The 19,751-nt window shown below is 37.3% G+C and overlaps 1 pseudogene; it reads left to right on the top strand.

Annotated features, from left to right (window-relative positions):
* SLC9B1P4 (solute carrier family 9 member B1 pseudogene 4) overlaps positions 1 to 19,702 on the top strand; it is a 48,121-nt pseudogene extending 28,419 nt beyond the window's left edge.

Here is a 19,751-nt window from a genome sequence, read left to right as displayed (position 1 = left end):
AGCTTCCTTGCAATGGGTTCCAACATCCTCCTTTAGCTTGGAGACGTTTGTTATTACCAACCTTCTGAAGCCTACTTCTGTCAACTCGTCAAAGTCATTCTCCGTCCAGCTTTGTTCCATTGCTGACAAGGAGCTGTGATCCTTTGGAGGAGAAGAGGTGCTCTGATTTTTAGTATTTTCAGCTTTTGTGCTCTGGTTTATCCCCATCCTTTTGGTTTTATCTACCTTTGGTCTTTGATATTGTTGACCTACAGATGGGGTTTTGGTGTAGATGATCTTTTGTTAATGTTGACACTATTCCTTTCTGTTTTTTAGTTTTCCTTCTAACAGTCAGGACCCTCAGCTGCAGATCTGTTGGAGTTTGCTGGAGTTCCACTCCAGACACTGTTTGCCTCGGTATCACCAGTGGAGGCTGCAAAACAGCAAATATTGCAGAACAGCAAATATTGCTGCCTGATCCTTCGTCTGGAAGCTTCGTCCAAGAGGGGCAGCCGCCTATATGAGGTGTCTGTCAGCTCCTACTGGGAGGTGTGTCCCAGTTAGGCTACACAGGGGTCAGGGACCCACTTGAGGAGGCAGTCTGTCCATTCTCAGAACTCAAACGCCATGCTGGGAAAACCACTGCTCTCTTCAGAGCTGTCAGACAGGGATATTTAAGTCTGCAGAAGTTGCTGCCTTTTGTTCAGCTATCCCCACCCACAGACGTGGAGTCTAGAGGCAACGGGCCTTGTCAAGCTGTGGTGGGCTCCACCCAGTTCAGGCTTCCCTGGCCGCTTTGTTTACCTACTTAAGCCTCAGCAATGGTGGACGCCCCTCCCCCAGCCAGGCTGCCACCTCGCAGATGGATTTCAGACTGTTTCGCTAGCAGTGAGCAAGGCTCCATGGGTGTGGGACCCACTGAGCCAGGCACAGGAGAGAATCACCTTGTCTGCTAGTTGCTAAGACCTTGGGAAAAGTGCAGTATTTGGGCGGGAGTGCCCTGTTTTTCCAGGTAGTCTGTCACAGCTTCCCTTGGCTAGGTAAGGGAAATCCCCCAACCCCTTGTGCTTCCCAGGTGAGGCGACGCCCCATCCTGCTTCAGCTCACCCTCTGTGGGCCTGCACCCACTCTCCAACCAGTCCCAATGAGATGAACCAGTTACCTCAGTTGGAAGTGCAGAAATCACCCATCTTCTCTGTCGATCATGCTGGGAGCTGCAGACCGGAACTGTTCCTATTTGGCCATCTTGGAACTCATCCAGGACATCTGGTAGAAGAAATTTGTAAGCAGCAAAGTGTTCAATTTATGACCTGAGTGCTCTTAAAAGTGTGCAGTTTTATGCATTCACAAAAATATGGTTTTGAATTAGAACTTATGTTTAAAAGGGAGCTGAGCATAAAAGTTTGGAAGATTTGCAGCCTGATGATGTGATAGAAAAGAAAACCCATTTTCTGGGGAGAAATTCAAGCTGACTGCAGAAATTTGCAGAAGTAACAAGGAGCCAAATGTTGATTGACAAGATAATGGGGAAATTGTCTCCAGGGCATGTCAGAGTTCTTCATGACAGCCCCTCCCGTCACAGAGTTGGAGGCCTAGGAGGGAAAAAATGGTTTTGTGGGCCAGGCCCAGAACTTTGCTGCTCTGTGCAGTCTTGGGACTTGGTGTCCTGTGTCCCAGCCATGGTTAAAAGGAGCCAACGTGCAGCTCAGGCTATTGCTTCAGAGTTCAATCCCCAAGCCTTGGCAGCTTCCATGTAGTGTTGGGTTGATATGCTAGTTGGCCATTTGTATTTTTTTTTTGGAAAAAATGTCTATTCAAGTCTATCTTAGTCCACTCCTGCTGCTATAACAAAACACCTTAGGCTGGTAATTTATAAACAACAGAAATTTATTTATTGCGTTCTGGAGTGTGAGAAGTCCAAGATTTAGGCTACAACAGACTCAGTGACTGGTGAGGTCACTATATTCACTATACATAGCACCTTCTCTGTGTCCTCACATGTTCAAAAGGGAAAACAAACTCCCTTAAGCCTCTTTTATAAAGGCCCTAGTCCCATTTCTGAGGGCTATGACTTCATGAACTAATCATCTCCAAAATGCCCCACCTCTTAATATTATCACATTGAATATTAGGCTCCAGCATATGAATATTGGGAGAACATTTGGACCATAGCAAAGTCAACTGACCATTTCCCATTTAGGTTGTTTTGTTATTGAGTTGTTGTTCTGTAAATATTTTAGATATTAACCCCTTATCAGGTATTTGGTTTGCTGGGAGGTTTTTGATTCCTGATTCAGTTACTAGTTATAGGTTTATTAAGATTTTTTATTTTGTGACTTAGTCTTCGTAACTTGCATGTTACTAGGAATCTGTTCATTTCTCCTAGGTTATCCAACTTGTCAGTATATAATCATTCATAGTAGACTCTTAGAATCCTTTTTATTTCTGTAATATCTGTTGCAGTGTCTTCTCTTTGATCCTAAAAGAAGTTGAGTCTTCTTTATTTTTTTTCTTAAATATTCTAGATAATGATTTGTCAGTTTTGTTGAACTTTGAAACAACTACTAGTTTCATTGGGTTTTTTTTCTATTCTCTAGCCTTTTTTTTTTTGAGAAGGAGTTTCGCTCTTATTGCCCAGGCTGTAGTGCAAAGGCGTGATCGCCGCTCGCTGCAACCTCCGCCTCCCAGTTCAAGTGACTCTCCCGCCTCAGCCTCCAGAGTAGCTGGGATTACAGGCATGCACCACCATGCCCGGCTAATTTTGTATTTTTTAGTAGAGACAGGTTTCTCCATGTTGCTGAGGCTTGTCTCGAACTCCCAACGTCAGGTGATCCACCTGACTCGGCCTCCCAAAGTGCTCGGATTACAGTCGTGAGCCACTGCACCCGGCCTTCTGCTCTAGACTTTATTATTTCCTTCCTTTTGCTAACATTGGGTTGAGTTCTTCTTTTTCCAGTTTCTTGAGGTGTAAAGCTAAGTTGCTGATTTTAGATCTTCTTTTTTAAGGTAGGTAGTTAGATATATAAACTGTCCTCTTCATATTAATTTTGCTGCATCCCACAAGCTTTGGAATGTTGTGTTTCCATTTTTATTTGTCTCAAGACATTTTCCAATTTTCCTTGTGACTTATTCTTTGACTATGTATTAATCAGAGTTCTCCAGAGGGTCAGATCTAATAGGAAATATAGATATAGATATAGATATAGATAATAGATATAGATACATATACATGCATCTAAAAGAGAATATATTTACATATATATGAAATATAATTTATTAAGGAGAATTGGCTCACATAATTACAAAGGCAAAGTCCCACAATAGGCCATCTATAAGCTGGAAAATGAGAGAAGCCTACAGCATGGCTCCCAAGGAAGCCAGTGACATGGCTCAGTCCAAATCTGAAAGTCTCAAAACCAGGGAAGCTGACAGTGCAGCCACTAGTCTGAGGCCCAAGGCCTGAGAGCTCCCAAAAGGCTGCTGATGTAAGTTCCAGGGTCCAAAGGCCAAAGAACCTAGAGTTTGATGTGCAAGGGCAAGAGGAGAAAAAGGCTTACTGCTCTGGAAGGGAGAGAAAGTGCATAAAAAAGAAATCCAAGCAAGCTGAATGTTCCCATTCTTCTGCCTTTTTGTTCTAGTCACACTTGCAACCAATTGCATGATGCCTACCCACAGTGAGGATGGGTTTTTCTCTCTCAGTCCACTAACTCATCCATCATTCTCCTGTGGCAGCACCCTCACAGATATACCCACACACAGTGCTTCATCAGGCATCTAAGCATCCCTCAATCAAATTGACAATTAATATTAACCACACAGGCCAATTGGTTAAGAGAGTATATTTTTGTAATTTCCACATATTTATTACTTTTCCTTTTTCCTTCTGCTATGAATTTGTAATTTCATTTAATGTGGTCAGAAAAGATATTTGGTATGAGTTCAGTTTTCTTAAATTTTTAAAAACTTGTTTGTGGACTAGCATGCCATCTATGCTGGAAAAGTCTTGGTATGTACTTGAGAAGAAAGCATATTTTGCTATTATTGGGTGAAGTGTTCTGTATATGTCAGACAGGTCCAATTGGTCTACAATGTTGTTCAAGTTCTGTGTTTTCCAGTTGATCTGTCTGGTTATTGTATCCATAATTGAAAGTGGAATATTGAAGTTTTCTGTTATTATGATGTTGTTATCTATGTTACCCCTCAATTCTGTCTATGTTAGCTTCATACATTTAGATGCTGTACTGTTAGTTGCATATACATTTATAATTGCTATATCTTCTTGGTCAATTGGCCGTTTTATTATTATGTAATATCCTTGTCTCTTGTGCTATTATTTGACTTAAACTCTATTTTGTCTAAGTATGGCCATCCTTGTTCTCTTTTGGTTACCAAAGGCATTGAATATCTTTTTCCATCTTTTCACTTTCAACCTTTGTGCATATTTAGATCTAACATAAGTCTCTTGCATATAGTATATATTTAGATTTTTTTAATCCATTCGGCCAATTCTCTGTCTTTTGATTGGAAAATTAGCCTATTTGCATTTAAAGTAGTTACTGATAGGGAGGGGCTTACTATTGTCATTTTGTTCATTGTTTTATACATGTCTTGCAGATATTTTTTTCCACTTTTCCTCTCTTTCTGCCTCCCTTTATGTTTCACTGATTTCTTTTTTTGGTAGGGACTTGCTTTGGTTCCTTTCTCATTTTTATTTGTGTATCTTCTGTAGGTCTTTTCTTTGTGGTTACTGTAGAATTACATGAAAACATCTTATAGTTATAATAATCTATTTTAAATTGACAACAACTTAACTTTAATCACATACAAAAACTCTACGTCTTTACACCTCCTTCTCACTTTGTTATCAATGTCACACTATATATTTTATATTGTTTATTCACATCATTTAATACAGTAATATTATGCTTTTACCTTTTAAATTCTATGCTTCAATTAAAAGTGAATTACAGGCTGGGTGTGGTGTCTCATACCTGTAGTCCCAGCACTTTGAGAGGCCAAATGGGAGGATCACTTGATCCTAGGAGTTTGAGACCAGCAAGGCCTTATCTCTGCTAAAAATTTAAAAATATTATCTGAGTGTGGTGGTGCATGTCTGTAGTCCCAGCCACTCGGGAGGCTGAGGTGGGAGGATTACTTTAGCCCAGGACTGCAAGGCTGCAGTGAGCCGTGATCAAACCACTGCACTCCAGCCTGGGCAACAGAGCAAGACTTTGTCTCAAAAAAAAAAAGTAAAGGAAAAAAAGTGTTTTGCTTACCACCATTAGGGTATTAAAGGATTCTATGTTCACTCATATATTTACCTTTACCAAAGAAGTTTATATTTTGTATGCTTTTGCATTTCTATCCAATGCCTTTTCATTTCCACTTGGAGGACTCCCTTTAACATGTTTTGTAAGGTAGGTCTAGTGGTGATCAACTCCCTCACCTTTTACTTCTCTGGGGAACTCTTTGTTTGTCTTTCATTTTTGAAATACAGTTTTACTGGCTATACAGTTCTTGGCTGACAGTTTTTTTTTTTTCTTTCAGCCCTTTTAATATATCATCCCATTCTCTTCTGGCCTGTAGAGTTTTTGCTGAGAATTCCATTGATAACCATATGGCATCTCCCTTGTATGTGACAAGTTGCTTTGATCCTGTTCCTTTCAAAATTCTCTCTTTGTCTTTGACTTTTGACAGTTTGATTGTAATGTGTCTCATTGTAGGTCTTTTGCAAATTATCCAACTTGGAGTTCTTTGAGCCTCTTGGATTTGTATGTCCATTTCCTTCTTTAAGTTTGAGAAGTTTTTGGTCATTATTTTTTTAACTGGCTCTCTGCCCCTTTATTTTTCTCTTCTCCTTCTGGCACTTTCATAATGCATACATTGGTCTGCTTGATGGCATCCTGTAAGTCTCTTAGGCTGTCTTCACTCTTCACTCCTTTTCCCTTTTGCTCCTCTGACTCCATAATTTCAAATGACTAGTCTTCCATTTCACTGATTCTTTCTTCTGCTTGATGTTATTGAAACTGCCTTTGCAAAAATTATAACTGAAGAAATTATGACAGCAAAAGACATCAGACTTAATCAACTGCATCTTGCTTCTAGCGTTTAAACTGTCCTTGTTCATTCCTGGCAGTAGGATGAACTAATTTTGGGAAGATATTCAGTTCATGGTTTGACTCTGAAACAAAGTTGATAATAGCCATTTCCCAAAAAGATCCCCTTCTTGCCTGGAACCAGTTTGCCTTTGCAGGATAAACAAATTAGCTACAACATTAGAAATTACAGTTGAGGGGTTATGCAGCCTTGGCTCCAAGAGTCTGAACCTCTCCAAATTGCTCCTGGGGATAACATCACTATTGTAAAACCTAAAATCAGTGCTTGAGATATTTTGCAGACCCTGCACTGGATGAATCAGCTGACACCACCCAGACTGGTAATATGGCTCAACTAGTTCTGCCACCCCACCCACAAACAGAAGACAGCAAGAAAACATCACTTCAACCCTGTATGATTTCATCTCCAACCTGATGAATAAGCAGTCCCCACTTCCCAAGCCCCTACCTGCCAAATTATCTTTAAAAGTTCTGATCCCCGAATGCTCAGGGAGACTGATTTGAGGAATAATAAAACTCTGATCTCCCGCACAGCCGGCTCTACCTGAATTACTCTTTCTCCATTGCAATTCCCCTGTCTTGATAAATCAGCTCTGTCTAAGCAGGGCATGAGGTGAACCCATTGGGCAGTTACACAGTCTATTGATGATTTCCGATAGTGAATTTTTCAATTGAGCTATTGCATTCCTTAGCTCCAGAGTCTCTGTATGGTTCCTTTTTTTTTTTTTTTAGTTTCTATCTCTGTTAATATTTTCATTTTGTTCTGAATTATTTCCTGCTTTCACTTAGTTGTCTATTTCTGTTGTCACTGGGCTTCATTAAGAGAGTTAATTTGGATTCTTTGTCAGGTAACTCATTTATCTATTCCTTTAGGGTTGGTTTCTGGAGATTTATTTTGCTCCTTTAATTTAGTCATCGGGTTTCTCTGTTTCTTCTTATGTCTTGTTATTTTTTATTTATTTTTGCCCAGATTTGGGTGTTTGAAAAAACTGCCACTTATCCCAGTTTTTCTCAGCTGGCTTCATATGGAAGACCTTCATACCTGAATCAGCATGGCTATAGGTTCCAGCAGCCTCTCAAACTTTTTCTGGGAATGCATCTTCTTTGGGTTTATACATTGCAACATCCCAAGTAGAGGTTTGCCAGTTTCTTTTTCTGGAGCTGTTGCTCCCTCTGGTATCTGTCTGTGGTACTGCAGGTTCCCTGGTGCTGCATCATCTCTGACCTCTCCTTTATTCCCAGTGGCTCCCATGCATCCAAAGTATGCCAGTTGGGCGTCAAGTTAGAGAGAGAGAGAGCTTCAGGTAACCTCATAAAACTATTCCATTCCAGTCTTCTCTTTCCCTGCTAACGGAGAAGCTGCAAGTTCAGTGCTTCCCAGCCAAACCAACCTGTTCGAGCTTGGGGAAGGGGTATCATGAGTATAATGCAACAGCTTTTCTTATTTGTTCAATGCCACTATTCTTGGCTTTGCACTTGTCTGTGCTACTACAACTTCTTAATGGTTTATGGAACTCCATAAAGGCTTTTAGACCATATGTAGTTTTTCAGTTGGTATCTTTATGGAGAATCAAGGTTTGGAGCTTCCCATTCCACCACCTGGCTGACATCACTCTGTTTATATTATTTTTTATTTTTATTATATTTTATTTTCTTGAGACAGGATCTTACTCTGTCAGCCAGGCTAGAGTGCAGCCTCGAACTCCTGAGCTCAAGGGACCTCCTCCCTCAGGCTACTGAGTACTTGGACTATAGGCACACACCACATACCGGGCTAATTTCTTATTTTGTTGTGAAGATGGGGTTTCACTCTGTTGCCCAAGTTGGTCTCAACTCTTGGGCTCAAGCAATCCTTCTGCCTTGGCCTCCCAAAGTGCTGGGATTAAAGGTGTGAGCCCACCATGCGCTGCCTGTTATATTTAGTAGAAAATATATCTAAAAATATACTTACGTACTATATTGAATCCACTACCCAGAGCTTAACTGAACTATTTTTGTGACTCATTCTGTTTTTTTGTTTTTTGCTTTTTACTTATTACAATGAACTACAAGTATGGATATATTAATATTAATTAATATAAAATATACTGGAATCTTTTGTATTTTTTTTCCTTTTTTCTTCACCAAAAGCAGAAACTTAAATACACTGAAATCTTAAATGACCCTTGAGTGTTTCTAGGACTGACCCTGGAACAAAATTTTTCATGTTGTTATTACATTGTTCTTTTCATGTTAAAATCATTTGTTTCTTTTTCATATAGTACATCAAAGAAGAATTGTTAATATAGCCCTTACCAGCCATATGCTAAGTGCCACAAGTGTTTCGGTCTCTCTCCATTCTTGTACCTCACTTGGTCTTTTTTTTTTTTTCTTTTGGAGGTGTAGCCTTCATCTTTCACCCAGGCTGGAGTGTGGTGGCACGATCTCAGCTCACGCAACCTCTGCCTCCCAGGTTCAAGTGATTCTCCTCCCTCAGCCTCCTGAGTACCTGGGACCACAGTTGTGTGCCACCAGGCCCACCTAATTTTTGTATTTTTAGTAGAGATGGGGTTTCATTATGTTGGCCAGGCTGGTCTTCAACTCCTGACCTCAAGTAATCCACCCTCCTCAGCCTCCCAAAGCGCTGGGATTACAGACATGAGCCACTGCACCCGGACTACCTCACTCTGTCTTTTAAATTGGCTAATGTAAGGGGAGCATCTTGTGCTTGTTAAGTCTTTGTTTTCTTGCCTATTTATATAATGGACATTTCTGAGTTGTGTGTATATATTAAATTATTTGAGAGCATATTTTTAATGTACTAAATAGATCTACATGTTTTCATACATGTCATTATAAAAAGACCATTTGCATATATTTGTTCTATAAAATGCTTACTTTTCTTCATGAACCACCTAGATTTGTTTTTCTGATGTGTAGTGTATGTGAAAATGTTTCTTTGTGAATTTTTTTTTTTATTGTGTGCCCCTACAGGTGGTATGCTTAATAACGCCATAGCCTCTATAAGGAACGTATGTATTAGTCTGCTGGCAGGAATTGTTTTGGGATTTTTTTGTTCGATATTTTCCAAGTGAAGACCAGGTGAACACAAAATCTATTTTATAGAAGTATAGTATTAGACATTTTTTTCAAAATATTAAACTTTGGTAAGATCCATGAAATTTAATACTTAACCCTATTTTTCTAAAACTAGCCTCCAATGCCTACTCTGTATTTAAAACTGAGCACAGCAGTGATTGATACAGGTCAATGGCTTTGATTAAAGTCTCTGCTTCCTGATTTGGCAAATAAGGAATGTCAAAAAATATACTTAATGCAGAGTATCCCTCTGAATTATACTTTCCCTTTCTCTACTAAATTGCCTATTGATGTTTGATAATTTCCCCCAAATTTTCCCTTAAACATTTTAGGGGGAGATAGGTTCCCATTTATTTCTTCATATTTTCTGACTGAAATTCACTCCTGCTATCCTTTGACAAAGGCAACACTCAAACTTAGCCATTTCCTGCCTTAAAGGAAAACATGCCATTACTTTTGTATTTCTGTAATTTCCATCCAAATTTAGCTGTAACATATTGACCAAAGAGATATTCAAATATTTTTTAAGAATTCATTGGGTATGTTATATGAAACTGGAGATTTTATGGGTCTCTTTTCTTCTTCACTTAAAGTAATACTTTAACCATTTTACTGATACTAGTATCAGAGATGTGGCAGAAGATGAAACGTTACTAGTCGGAAATTTTGTTACTTGGTAGTAAGTCTGCTAAAATGTATGGTGAGAAAGAAAATCGAAATTTTAGACATTTAATATAACATTTAAAGACATAATATCAAAGGGTCAAACATATATAATAGATAATGTCAAATCTTATATATTTAATATAAACTAATTTCTAAATATCTATCTAATTCTAGAAAAAACTTACATTGAAGAGAGGATTCCTTGTTTTGACTACGTGTGTTTCTGCTGTCTTAGGCAGCCAACGTATTGGTTTACATGGATCTGGAGGATTATGCACACTAGTGTTGAGTTTCATTGCAGGGACAAAATGGTCCCAAGAAAAGGTGAATATTTTTAATATGCTATATTTTAAAAGCTAAGACAACTGAATTTTTTTGCATATATTTAGGAAATCCCCTCATTCTGGTTGGAAAATATTCCAAAAGGTTTGCTATCCTCAAGAAAGTGTATGAATCAATTGAGGAAATAAAATATTTAGGAAAAGCAGGTAGAAATATACTAATATGGAATCAGAAGTTCAGTTAATCACATCAGGCTTCTCTTTTTCCCAAGTTTTATATAATATTATTATATTACTTATATCAATCTAATTATTTTATTCATTGAAATTTTAATTATACAATTAATCCATGAAGAATGTTTGTAAAAGGCCAGGCACGGTGGCTCATGCCTGTAATCCCAGGACTTTGGGAGGTCGAGGTGGACAGATCACCTGGGGTCAGGAGTTTGAGACCAGCGTGGCCAACATGTTGAAACTCCATCTCTACTAAAAATACAAAAATTAGCTGGGCATGGTGGCTTGGTGGTGGGCACCTGTAATTCCAGCTACTCAGGAGGCTGAGGCAGGAGCATTGCTTGAACCCAGGAGGTGGAGGCTGCAGTGAGTCGAGATCATGCCATTGCACTCCAGCCTGGGCAACAAGTGCAAAACTCCATCACACACACACACAAAAAAATAAACAAACAAATAAATAATAAAAATAGAAATGCTTGTAAAAGCATAAAACATATAGAATAAAACATAAAAGATTTCTTTATTCCCTACCACTGTCAAATATCTAACCCCCTTACATTTTTTTAAGTAACCAGTATTCTATTTATAGACATTAAGATCGTTTCCACTTTTTGTTATTTACAAACAGTGCTGTCATAAACAGTGTTGTTCATGTCTTTTTTTTTTTTTTTTGAGACACAGTTTCACTCTTGTCACCCAGGCTGGAGTGCAGTAGCATAATCTTGGCTCACTGCAACCTCCACCTCCTGGATTCAAGTGATTCTTCTATTTCAGCCTCCCTAGTAGCTGGGATTACAGGCGCGCACCACCAGGCCCAGCAAATTTTTGTATTTTTAGTAGAGACGGGGTTTCACCATGTTGGCCAGGCAGGTCTTGACCTCCTGACCTCAGGTGATACTCCTGCCTCGGCCTCCCAAAGTGTTGGGATTACAGGTACATCTGTAGGAATAGAGTCCCAGACATGATTTTTTTTTTTTTTTTTTGAGACAGAGTCTCTGTCTGTGTTGCCCAGGCTGGTCTCAAAATCCTGAGCTCAAGGGATCCTCCCAACTTGACATTGCAAAGTGCTAGGATTACAAGCATGAGCTACCACACCTGGCTGGAAATGATCTGTGTTTTATTTTGATGGACACTGCTAAATTATCCCTCCAAAAATTTTGGTTATTTACACTCTGCCAACAGTGCACAAAAATATCTAATACCTTAACTCATCAACAGCACTTGATATTATCACTAGTTCTATTCTTTTTACTATTAAATGACCTCACCATCCAATTCTTATAGTTTCTTACAATTATGTGATGTTGTTATTCTTTATTTACATTTCTCTGATTGGTAGTATAGTCAGCTTCTCTTCATATATTCTTTTTAAAATACCTATGATCTTCTTTGACCATTTTTATTGGGTTATTTATTTTTTTGTTTCTAATTTATAGTTTCTCTTAGTGTTAGGGCTACTGATCCTTTGTTATGTATATATTGATATAATTTTTGCTTATCTTCAACTTTGTTTATGGTGTCTGGTGTATGAAAGTAAAATTTCCTATGACCAAACCTATTGGGTTTTCCTTTTTTGGTTTTGGATTCTGCATCTCATTTAAGAAGGACTTTCTCACTGAAGATTATAACATATAAACATTACAAAGATATACTATTTTGTGTATTATCATTTAATATTTTGGTAGTTTTTGTTTGTTTAATTTGTTTTTTCATTTAGTCTTTTAATCTATCTGGAATTTATCTTTGTGAATGCTGTAAGGTAAGGTTATACATATATACATATGTGTATCTTACAAACTATATATATATATATACACATACACACATACAGTTTGTAAGTTAACTGAACAGAGATAGTACTACATCATGCCTGATGTGTGTGTGTATATATGTATATATACACACACATAATATATATACATATTCAGACACACATATATACTTGCATGTGATGAATATGTACATACAGATATATGCACATAAACTAGACAGTCATTTTTTGCCAAATTGTTTATTTATTGACCAATTCATTAATAATTCAGTTTTTTAACATGAACTAAATTCTCCCATATATATTAACTCTGAAGTCTATTTAATCCTACTTCTCTATTTCTATGCCAATACCACTGTTTTAAATCACTGCAGTTTTATGTGTCAAAATCTAATATAGATTATTCTTCTTTTTAAAGTATTTTTTGGCTGTTCCTACACATATTCTTTCTTAGATAAATTTTAGAATCAGCTTGAGAAGTTCCCTAATCAAAAATCATAGTGGCATTTTGCTTAGTATTCTTATATAATCATAATTAAAAAAGAAATGAAATGAATGAAATGCAAATCAATAAATAAAATTAAAACTGCTAGAATTTTTTTAAATGGTAAAAGAAACAGAACTAAAACAAGTTTTAAAGATTAAAAGTAACAAATAGGATAATTATGCTGTAAAGAGTAGTAACATCGTTTTTCTTTGTTTTTCTTTTTTTAAACTATAATAAGTGGGGATCAGAAAACACAGTCATAAGGGAAATAGTTATGAAGATAGTTTATGCCTCAAGGAAGAGACATCAAAGTTCTTATGTATCTTCTGTTTAAAAAAAAATTAAACCCAGACTGAGACTGGGTTTAATCTCTTCATCCAAATTCCTGGAGAAGAGCCAGAGTAATGTAGGCCAATAGGGGCCTTTCCTGTAACCTTTTAACTGGGGAAGTAGCACTGGGAGGCATTCGTTTCCAGAAAGGGAAGCTGGGTAGGCAGCTAAATGAGAATCTAATATATATTTTGGTTTTGTTTTAAGGAAAAAGTAACTTTAAAGTATTCAACATGGGTTCTTTGGAAGCAGGCCTTACAGACTTCCAAATTGTTTTTCCTAGTAGTATATGCTATATATATCAGGATTCACTTTAATGGGATTGAGTTCCAGGATGGTTGTTAGTGGAAGGCTTCCCAACCCCCTTCTGAGAACCCAAATGTTTGCATGAACTCGGTATGTTCTCATCAGGCATGATGTAGTTCTATCTCTGTTCAGTTAACTTAGAGACAAAATCTGGAACTCATACGAAACATGGCTAGAACCCTAAGGACATCACTTATTCTGTGACAAAATGGCCAAATAGTATTATTTTATTGCTTTGTGAGTCTCTTTTAATCAAATTCTACCTGTTTGAGTAAAACTATTGAAGTGCTCAGTTTTTATTATTTAAGTTTAACATTTTTATTAAAATAAAGCGTCTTAAATTTATTAAAAGCTAAGTGACTTTAGGCCAGGCATGGTGGCTCATGTCTATAATGCCAGTGCTTTGGGAGGCCACAGCCAGAGACCACTTGAAGACAGGAGTTCTAGACCATCCTGGGCAATATAGCGAGACCCCGTCTCTATAAACAATTTAAAAATTAGCCCAGCATGGTGGTACACAACTGTAGTTCTACTTGGGAGACTGTGAGAGGATCACTTGAGCCCAGGAGTTCAAGGCTACAGTGAGCTATGATTATGCCACTACACTCCAGCCTGGGCAACAGAGCAAGACCCCATCTCTAAAATACTTAAAAAGTGAAAAAAAAAAAAATGGTGAGGGAGACTTTAACTTTCTGAAATATATTTATGTGCCAAAATAATTATAAATGTATTTCTCTTTTCTATAGATGAAAGTCCAAAAGATTATTACAAATGTATGGGATATTTTTCAACCACTTCTTTTTGGTTTAGTTGGAGCAGAAGTATCTGTTTCATCACTTGAATCAAATATTTTTGGTAAGAATAATTACAGCACAAAAAATATGAAATTCAAAAATATTTAAGAAAATTATAAATACATTTATTTTTATTTACAATATATCTTTGAATGGCTACAAGGACCTTCTTCAGAAACACATGTTGATACAGTATCATATTTTCATATTGCTCTCCCTTTACACTGTGTGCTCTTTTTTTTTTAAACCAACCAAGGACAGCCCTGAATATCTTCCCTGAGTTATCTAAGGAAATAAATATAAGATTTCTTTCCTGAGGGAATATATTTGATACGATCAGCACTTTTTGAGTACTTTCATTTAAAACTATTGGCTGGGTGTGGTGGCTCATGCCTGTAATCTTAGCACTTTGGGAGGCTGAAGCGGGCAGATTTCTTGAAGTTAGGAGTTCAAGACCTGCCTGGCTAACATGGGGAACCCCATCTCTCCTAGAAATACAAAAATTAGCCAGGTGTGGTAGTGCACGCCTGTAATCCCAGCTACTCAGGAGGCTGAGGCAGGAGAATCACGTGAACCCGGGAGTCGGAAGTTGCAGTGAGCTGAGATTGTACCACTGCACTCCAGCCTGGGCGACAGAGCAAGAATCCTTCTCAAAAAGTAAATTATTATTAATAATAATAAAAATATTCAAAAAAAGTCTATTAGTTCAGAATTGTATAAATGTCATCTGTCTTATTTTTCATGGTACCTCCACCATCAGATACTGTCTTGCACTTTACAGAGAATCCTCCATCATATTCATTTTTTATTATCATTGTTTTATGTAAAAATTAAACACATGAAGAGACAATAGCCTTAAAATGCTTTCAAAAGTTTTAGAAATCATATTCCTGGGCATAAAGAACACTTCTTCACAAATATTTTGTTATTTATGTTTGTTTTCATCTGTTGTAGGCATATCTGTTGCTACTCTGAGTTTGGCATTATGTGTTCGAATTTTAACCACATATCTATTGATGTGCTTTGCTGGTTTTAGTTTTAAGGAGAAAATATTTATTGCTTTAGCATGGATGCCCAAAGCTACAGTACAGGTAAGAACATATTAAGCCTATTGCTTAATGCTTTCGTTTTGATGCTTTTAAAATTTAAAATGAAAAATGTTACTCCAATCACAAAATATGAGTTATTATCCTTACTTTTTAAATGTTTGATTGATCATAACTATTCATTAAAATTAACGTAACCAGTCCCAGCTACTCAGGAGGCTGAGATGGGAGAATCACTTGAACCCAGGAGGCAGAGGTTGCAGTAAGTTGAGATGGCACAACTGTACTCCAGTCTGGCAACAGAGCAAGACTCAATCTCAAATAAATAAATAAATAAATAAACAAAAACAAACAAAGAAACTCAATGTAACCTTTTTCTATTTTTATTTTTATTTTCATTTTGAGACCAGGTCTCACTCTGTCACCCAAACTGGAGTGCAGTGGCATGATCACGGCTCACTGCAGCCTCAACCTCCTGGGCTCAAACAATCCTCTCACATCAGCCTCCTGAGTAGCTAGGATCACAGTCACCTGCCACCACACCCAACTGCTTTTTTTCAGATTTTTTTTTTTTGAGACAGTCTTACTCTGTTGTCCAGGCTGGAGTGCAGTGGCATGATCTCAGCTCAATGCAACCTCCACCTCCCAGGTTCAAGCGATTCTCCTGCCTCAGCCTCCTCAGTAGCTGGGATTACAGGTGCACACCACCACGCCCAGCTAATTTTTGTATTTTTAGTAGATATGGGGTCTCACCATGTTGGCCAGGCTAGTCTCAAACTCCTGACCTCAAGTGATCCACCTGTCTCAGCCTCCCAAAGTGCTGGGATTACAGGCATGAGCTACTGCGCCTGGCCTTTTCTTTCTGATTTTTTTGTAAAGAGGAGGTCTTGCTATGTTGCCCAGGCTGATCTTGAACTCCTAGGTTCAAGTGATCTTCCTGCCTCAGCCTCCTAAAGTTCTGGGATTACAAGCATAACCCACTGGGCCTAGCCAATGTAACCTTTTGAAATCTCAGTTTTAAAAGCAATTATTTTGAAATCAAAAAGCATTCTTTCAATAAGTACTTCCTAAGTTTATGAAAATATGTTTTTTATTTTCCTAAAATATATAATAAGAATATATCTGAAAATTGGAGTTTTTATATTTTGCTGAATATAACAAAGCTAAATGTTATGATTTTAAAAAGTAGAGACACAGGCCAGGCATGGTGGCTCATGCCTGTAATCCTAGCACTTCGGGAGGCTGAGGCAGACAGATCACTTGAGCTCAGGAGTTCAAGACCAGCCTGGGCAACATGGTAAAACCCCTGTCTCTACAAGAAATACAAAAAAATTAGTCAGGTGTGGTGGCACGCACCTGTAGTCACAGCTACTTGGGGGCTGAGGCAGGAGGATTTCTTGAACTCGGGAGGTTGAGGCTGCAGTGAGCTGAGGTCATGCCACTTCACTCCAGCTTGGGTGACAAAGTGAGATCCTGTCGCAAAAAAAAGTAAAGTAAAATAGAGACACATTGATTTTTTAAAAAATACTTTTCCTACCTTGCCACTCACTCCATCACACAAATGCACATATATTTTTTTATTACACATTTATTTGTATACTATTTGGTTAATGGCTAAATCCCTGCCCCCGCCCCCTTGATAGGCTATGTAAGGACAGGGACAGTGTCTGGTTGTTGCAGTTGTTTTTCATTATTTCTCCCTGGCACTTAACACAGTGCCTGACATGCAAGAGGCAAATACGTATTGCATGCCTGCAAGGATGAATGAACGGAAAGGGAAACCTTGTAATTTTGCCCTGTTATTCAAGGATATTCTCCTCCTACTAAAATATATTGCTACTTCTTGTTAGACTGTTTAACTTGGCAGCATAATATACCTTAATTTCCTGTGGCTCTTTTCTTAGTTGTTATTCCAAAACAGAAGCTCCTAAATTTTCATGCAAAAAAACCCCTATTATCATGTTAGAAAAGCAGGTTCTTAGGGCCAGACTACCTGTTTTGAATACCATGTTACTTGCCTATAACCTCAGGAAAATTATTTTCTAGTCTCTCAGTCCTTCAGTGTTCTCATCTTACAATGAAGTCTATGACTGTATCTGTTTCTTAGCAGTGTTGTCAGGATTCAATGAGATAATCCACTTAAAGTGCTTAGCACTCTCTCTGGCATATGGTGGTGCTCAGTTAACAAACAATGTTGTTATTTTATCTTACCTTCAAGTAATATAAATAATAACTTTTTATTTTTAATATCTACTGTAGGGAATAATAAATCTACAAAAGGCTTATCTGTTCTCTCTCCTTCCAACAATACTCTTGCAATTTTGTTTCATTATTTCATAATTTTCATAAAGCAGGGAAAAAAGAAAAGCAGGTATGAGGAAAGAGACCACTCACTCGAGTCCTGCAGTATTATTCTGCTTCTGCCTATTCATGTCTGCTGGCTCCAGGCTAGCTTCTACACAAAGAATATCAAGCTGGTTCCAGGAACTGGCAAGACATAAAAAATTAATTATTTATACAAGTAGAGTCACAACAGCGATAATAGATAACAATAATGTCACAAGTAAATACGATCAACAAATATTTAAATTTCAATTTTAAATTATTTTCACCTTTATCCTCTTCCACCGTTCTCTGCTGCTAAAATAAAATTGGCTAAGGTTCAGCTTTCTCTTGTTCCTTAGTTTCGAGTTACTGATAAAAATTAGACTGGAAAAATAGAAGCTACTAGGAGAGTAAATAAATAATTTAGTTTACAAATGTAAGATCAGCTTGGCAATTGGATTTTTTTAAAGAAATAATATTAAATCTCAGTCACTAGGAGGAAATCATTTATCATCTAATAAAAGTTCTCACATAATAAGGTTGTCATAAGAATTAAATGAATTGATAAATGGAAAGCTTTAAGAATGATACCTGACATATGATGAATGCCATATAACTATAAAAATATTATTTCTAGTTTCACCATTATCGTCATCATCTCTTAAAAATCAATGGGTTTGGTTTTTGTTTTTGTTTTTTTCTGTTGGCAGTTCTTTTATGTTCAAATCCTCTTCTAAACTGTAAGATTCTTTCAAGGTGGTTTTCTGCATGATTTTTTTTTTTCACCCTAGCATCCTCCAGCACACTGGATCATGTTCAGTACATTAAAAGTTATGATATAAAAATAATACCATTTTAAATTATTGATTTAGGATATAGAAATTGATCTTAAATTGAGGACTTCTTTTGCCATAATTTTCCATATCAGAGGTAATGTTTCTACCATTATGTTGTCACTTTGCAACTCCATAGAAAATATGTTACATATTGGTATTTAATTCCCCCAAATTTTAAGGCAATTTCATGCCTAGTTATTAAACACAAGGAAAGAGAGTTAGCAAGAAATTTGCTTTATGTTATTAAAAATAATGTGGTAGAAGGTAACTAGGGAAAAAACTTGTGACCCAGTAGTCATTCTAAAACAAAAACTTCAAAGGAACTCATTCTCTGACCTGGCAGGGGATGAGGAGTGAAGGAGAAAGAAACTTACTACTATCTGAATATCTACTCTGTGCCAGGTATTCTTCACATTCTCATATTTAATTTTCACAACCGTCCAGTAACATAAGTATTTTGTTCTTCGTTTTACACGGAAGTAAGTAGAAGGTTAGAGAGTGTGAGTCATTTGTACAAGGTCACTAGCTTGGTTGCAGCAAAAATAGAATTCAAACTCAGTTTGCTAAATTCCAAGCCTGCTGTCAGTTCTGCTATAACCCAGTGCCCCCTGAATAAGGAGAACAATGATAAGAAGGGCAACAAATCCTAGAGAACCATAAGAAAACTTAATATTTTATTTTATCTTCTTGTAGTCAAAAACCACTGGTACACGATAAAGGCAACTAAGCAAAACCAGTTTCGTTAGAACTCCTGGTGTTATGAGGGCAACACTCAAAAGAGATATTTGAATAGAGGAACACTGAGAGGACAAGAGTGCAAAATCAGCCCAAAAATGTTTGCATGCTGATTTGTCACTATTGTACTCTTCCTCCACATATATTTGCTAGGAAGAACATGGAACTGATGAGTAACTTATGAAAATTACTGAGTACTTTTTTTTCTAATAGTCTAGTACTAGATTTTGTTTATTTTGACAGAGCCATTTACATTATATATTAACTCAGTTTAATATTTTTCTTTATGCCCCATTTTTACCCCTAAATGTAGGCTGTGTTAGGTCCTCTGGCTCTAGAAACAGCAAGAGTCTCCGCACCCCACTTGGAACCATATGTGAAGGATGTGATGACAGTAGCATTTTTAGCCATCTTGATCACAGCTCCAAATGGAGCTCTACTTATGGGCATTCTGGGGCCTAAACTGCTTACACGCCATTATGATCCAAGCAAAATAAAACTGCAATTGTCAACATTAGAACATCATTAAAAAGTTTACCTGTCATCATCTGCCTGCTGCTTTTAATGAATTATTTCACAAGACAGAAGAATTTTAAAGTAGAAATATGTAGGGACTGTACAGAAAATCCAGGATTTAGTAAACATGTGATTTCAGTACAGGGCTTTTCTTGGACTTTTTACTCCAAAGTTAATTTAATAAAAATAATATTAAATGGAATGCTCTCTTGGTATTTACATACTGTAAGAACAAATTAAATCTGCAAATA

Source organism: Homo sapiens, chromosome 22, assembly GCF_000001405.40.
Source record: "Homo sapiens chromosome 22, GRCh38.p14 Primary Assembly".
Classification (NCBI taxonomy): Eukaryota; Metazoa; Chordata; class Mammalia; order Primates; family Hominidae; genus Homo; species Homo sapiens.
Note: the sequence above shows the minus strand (reverse complement) of the source record. Positions and strands in the feature narration are given on the sequence as shown.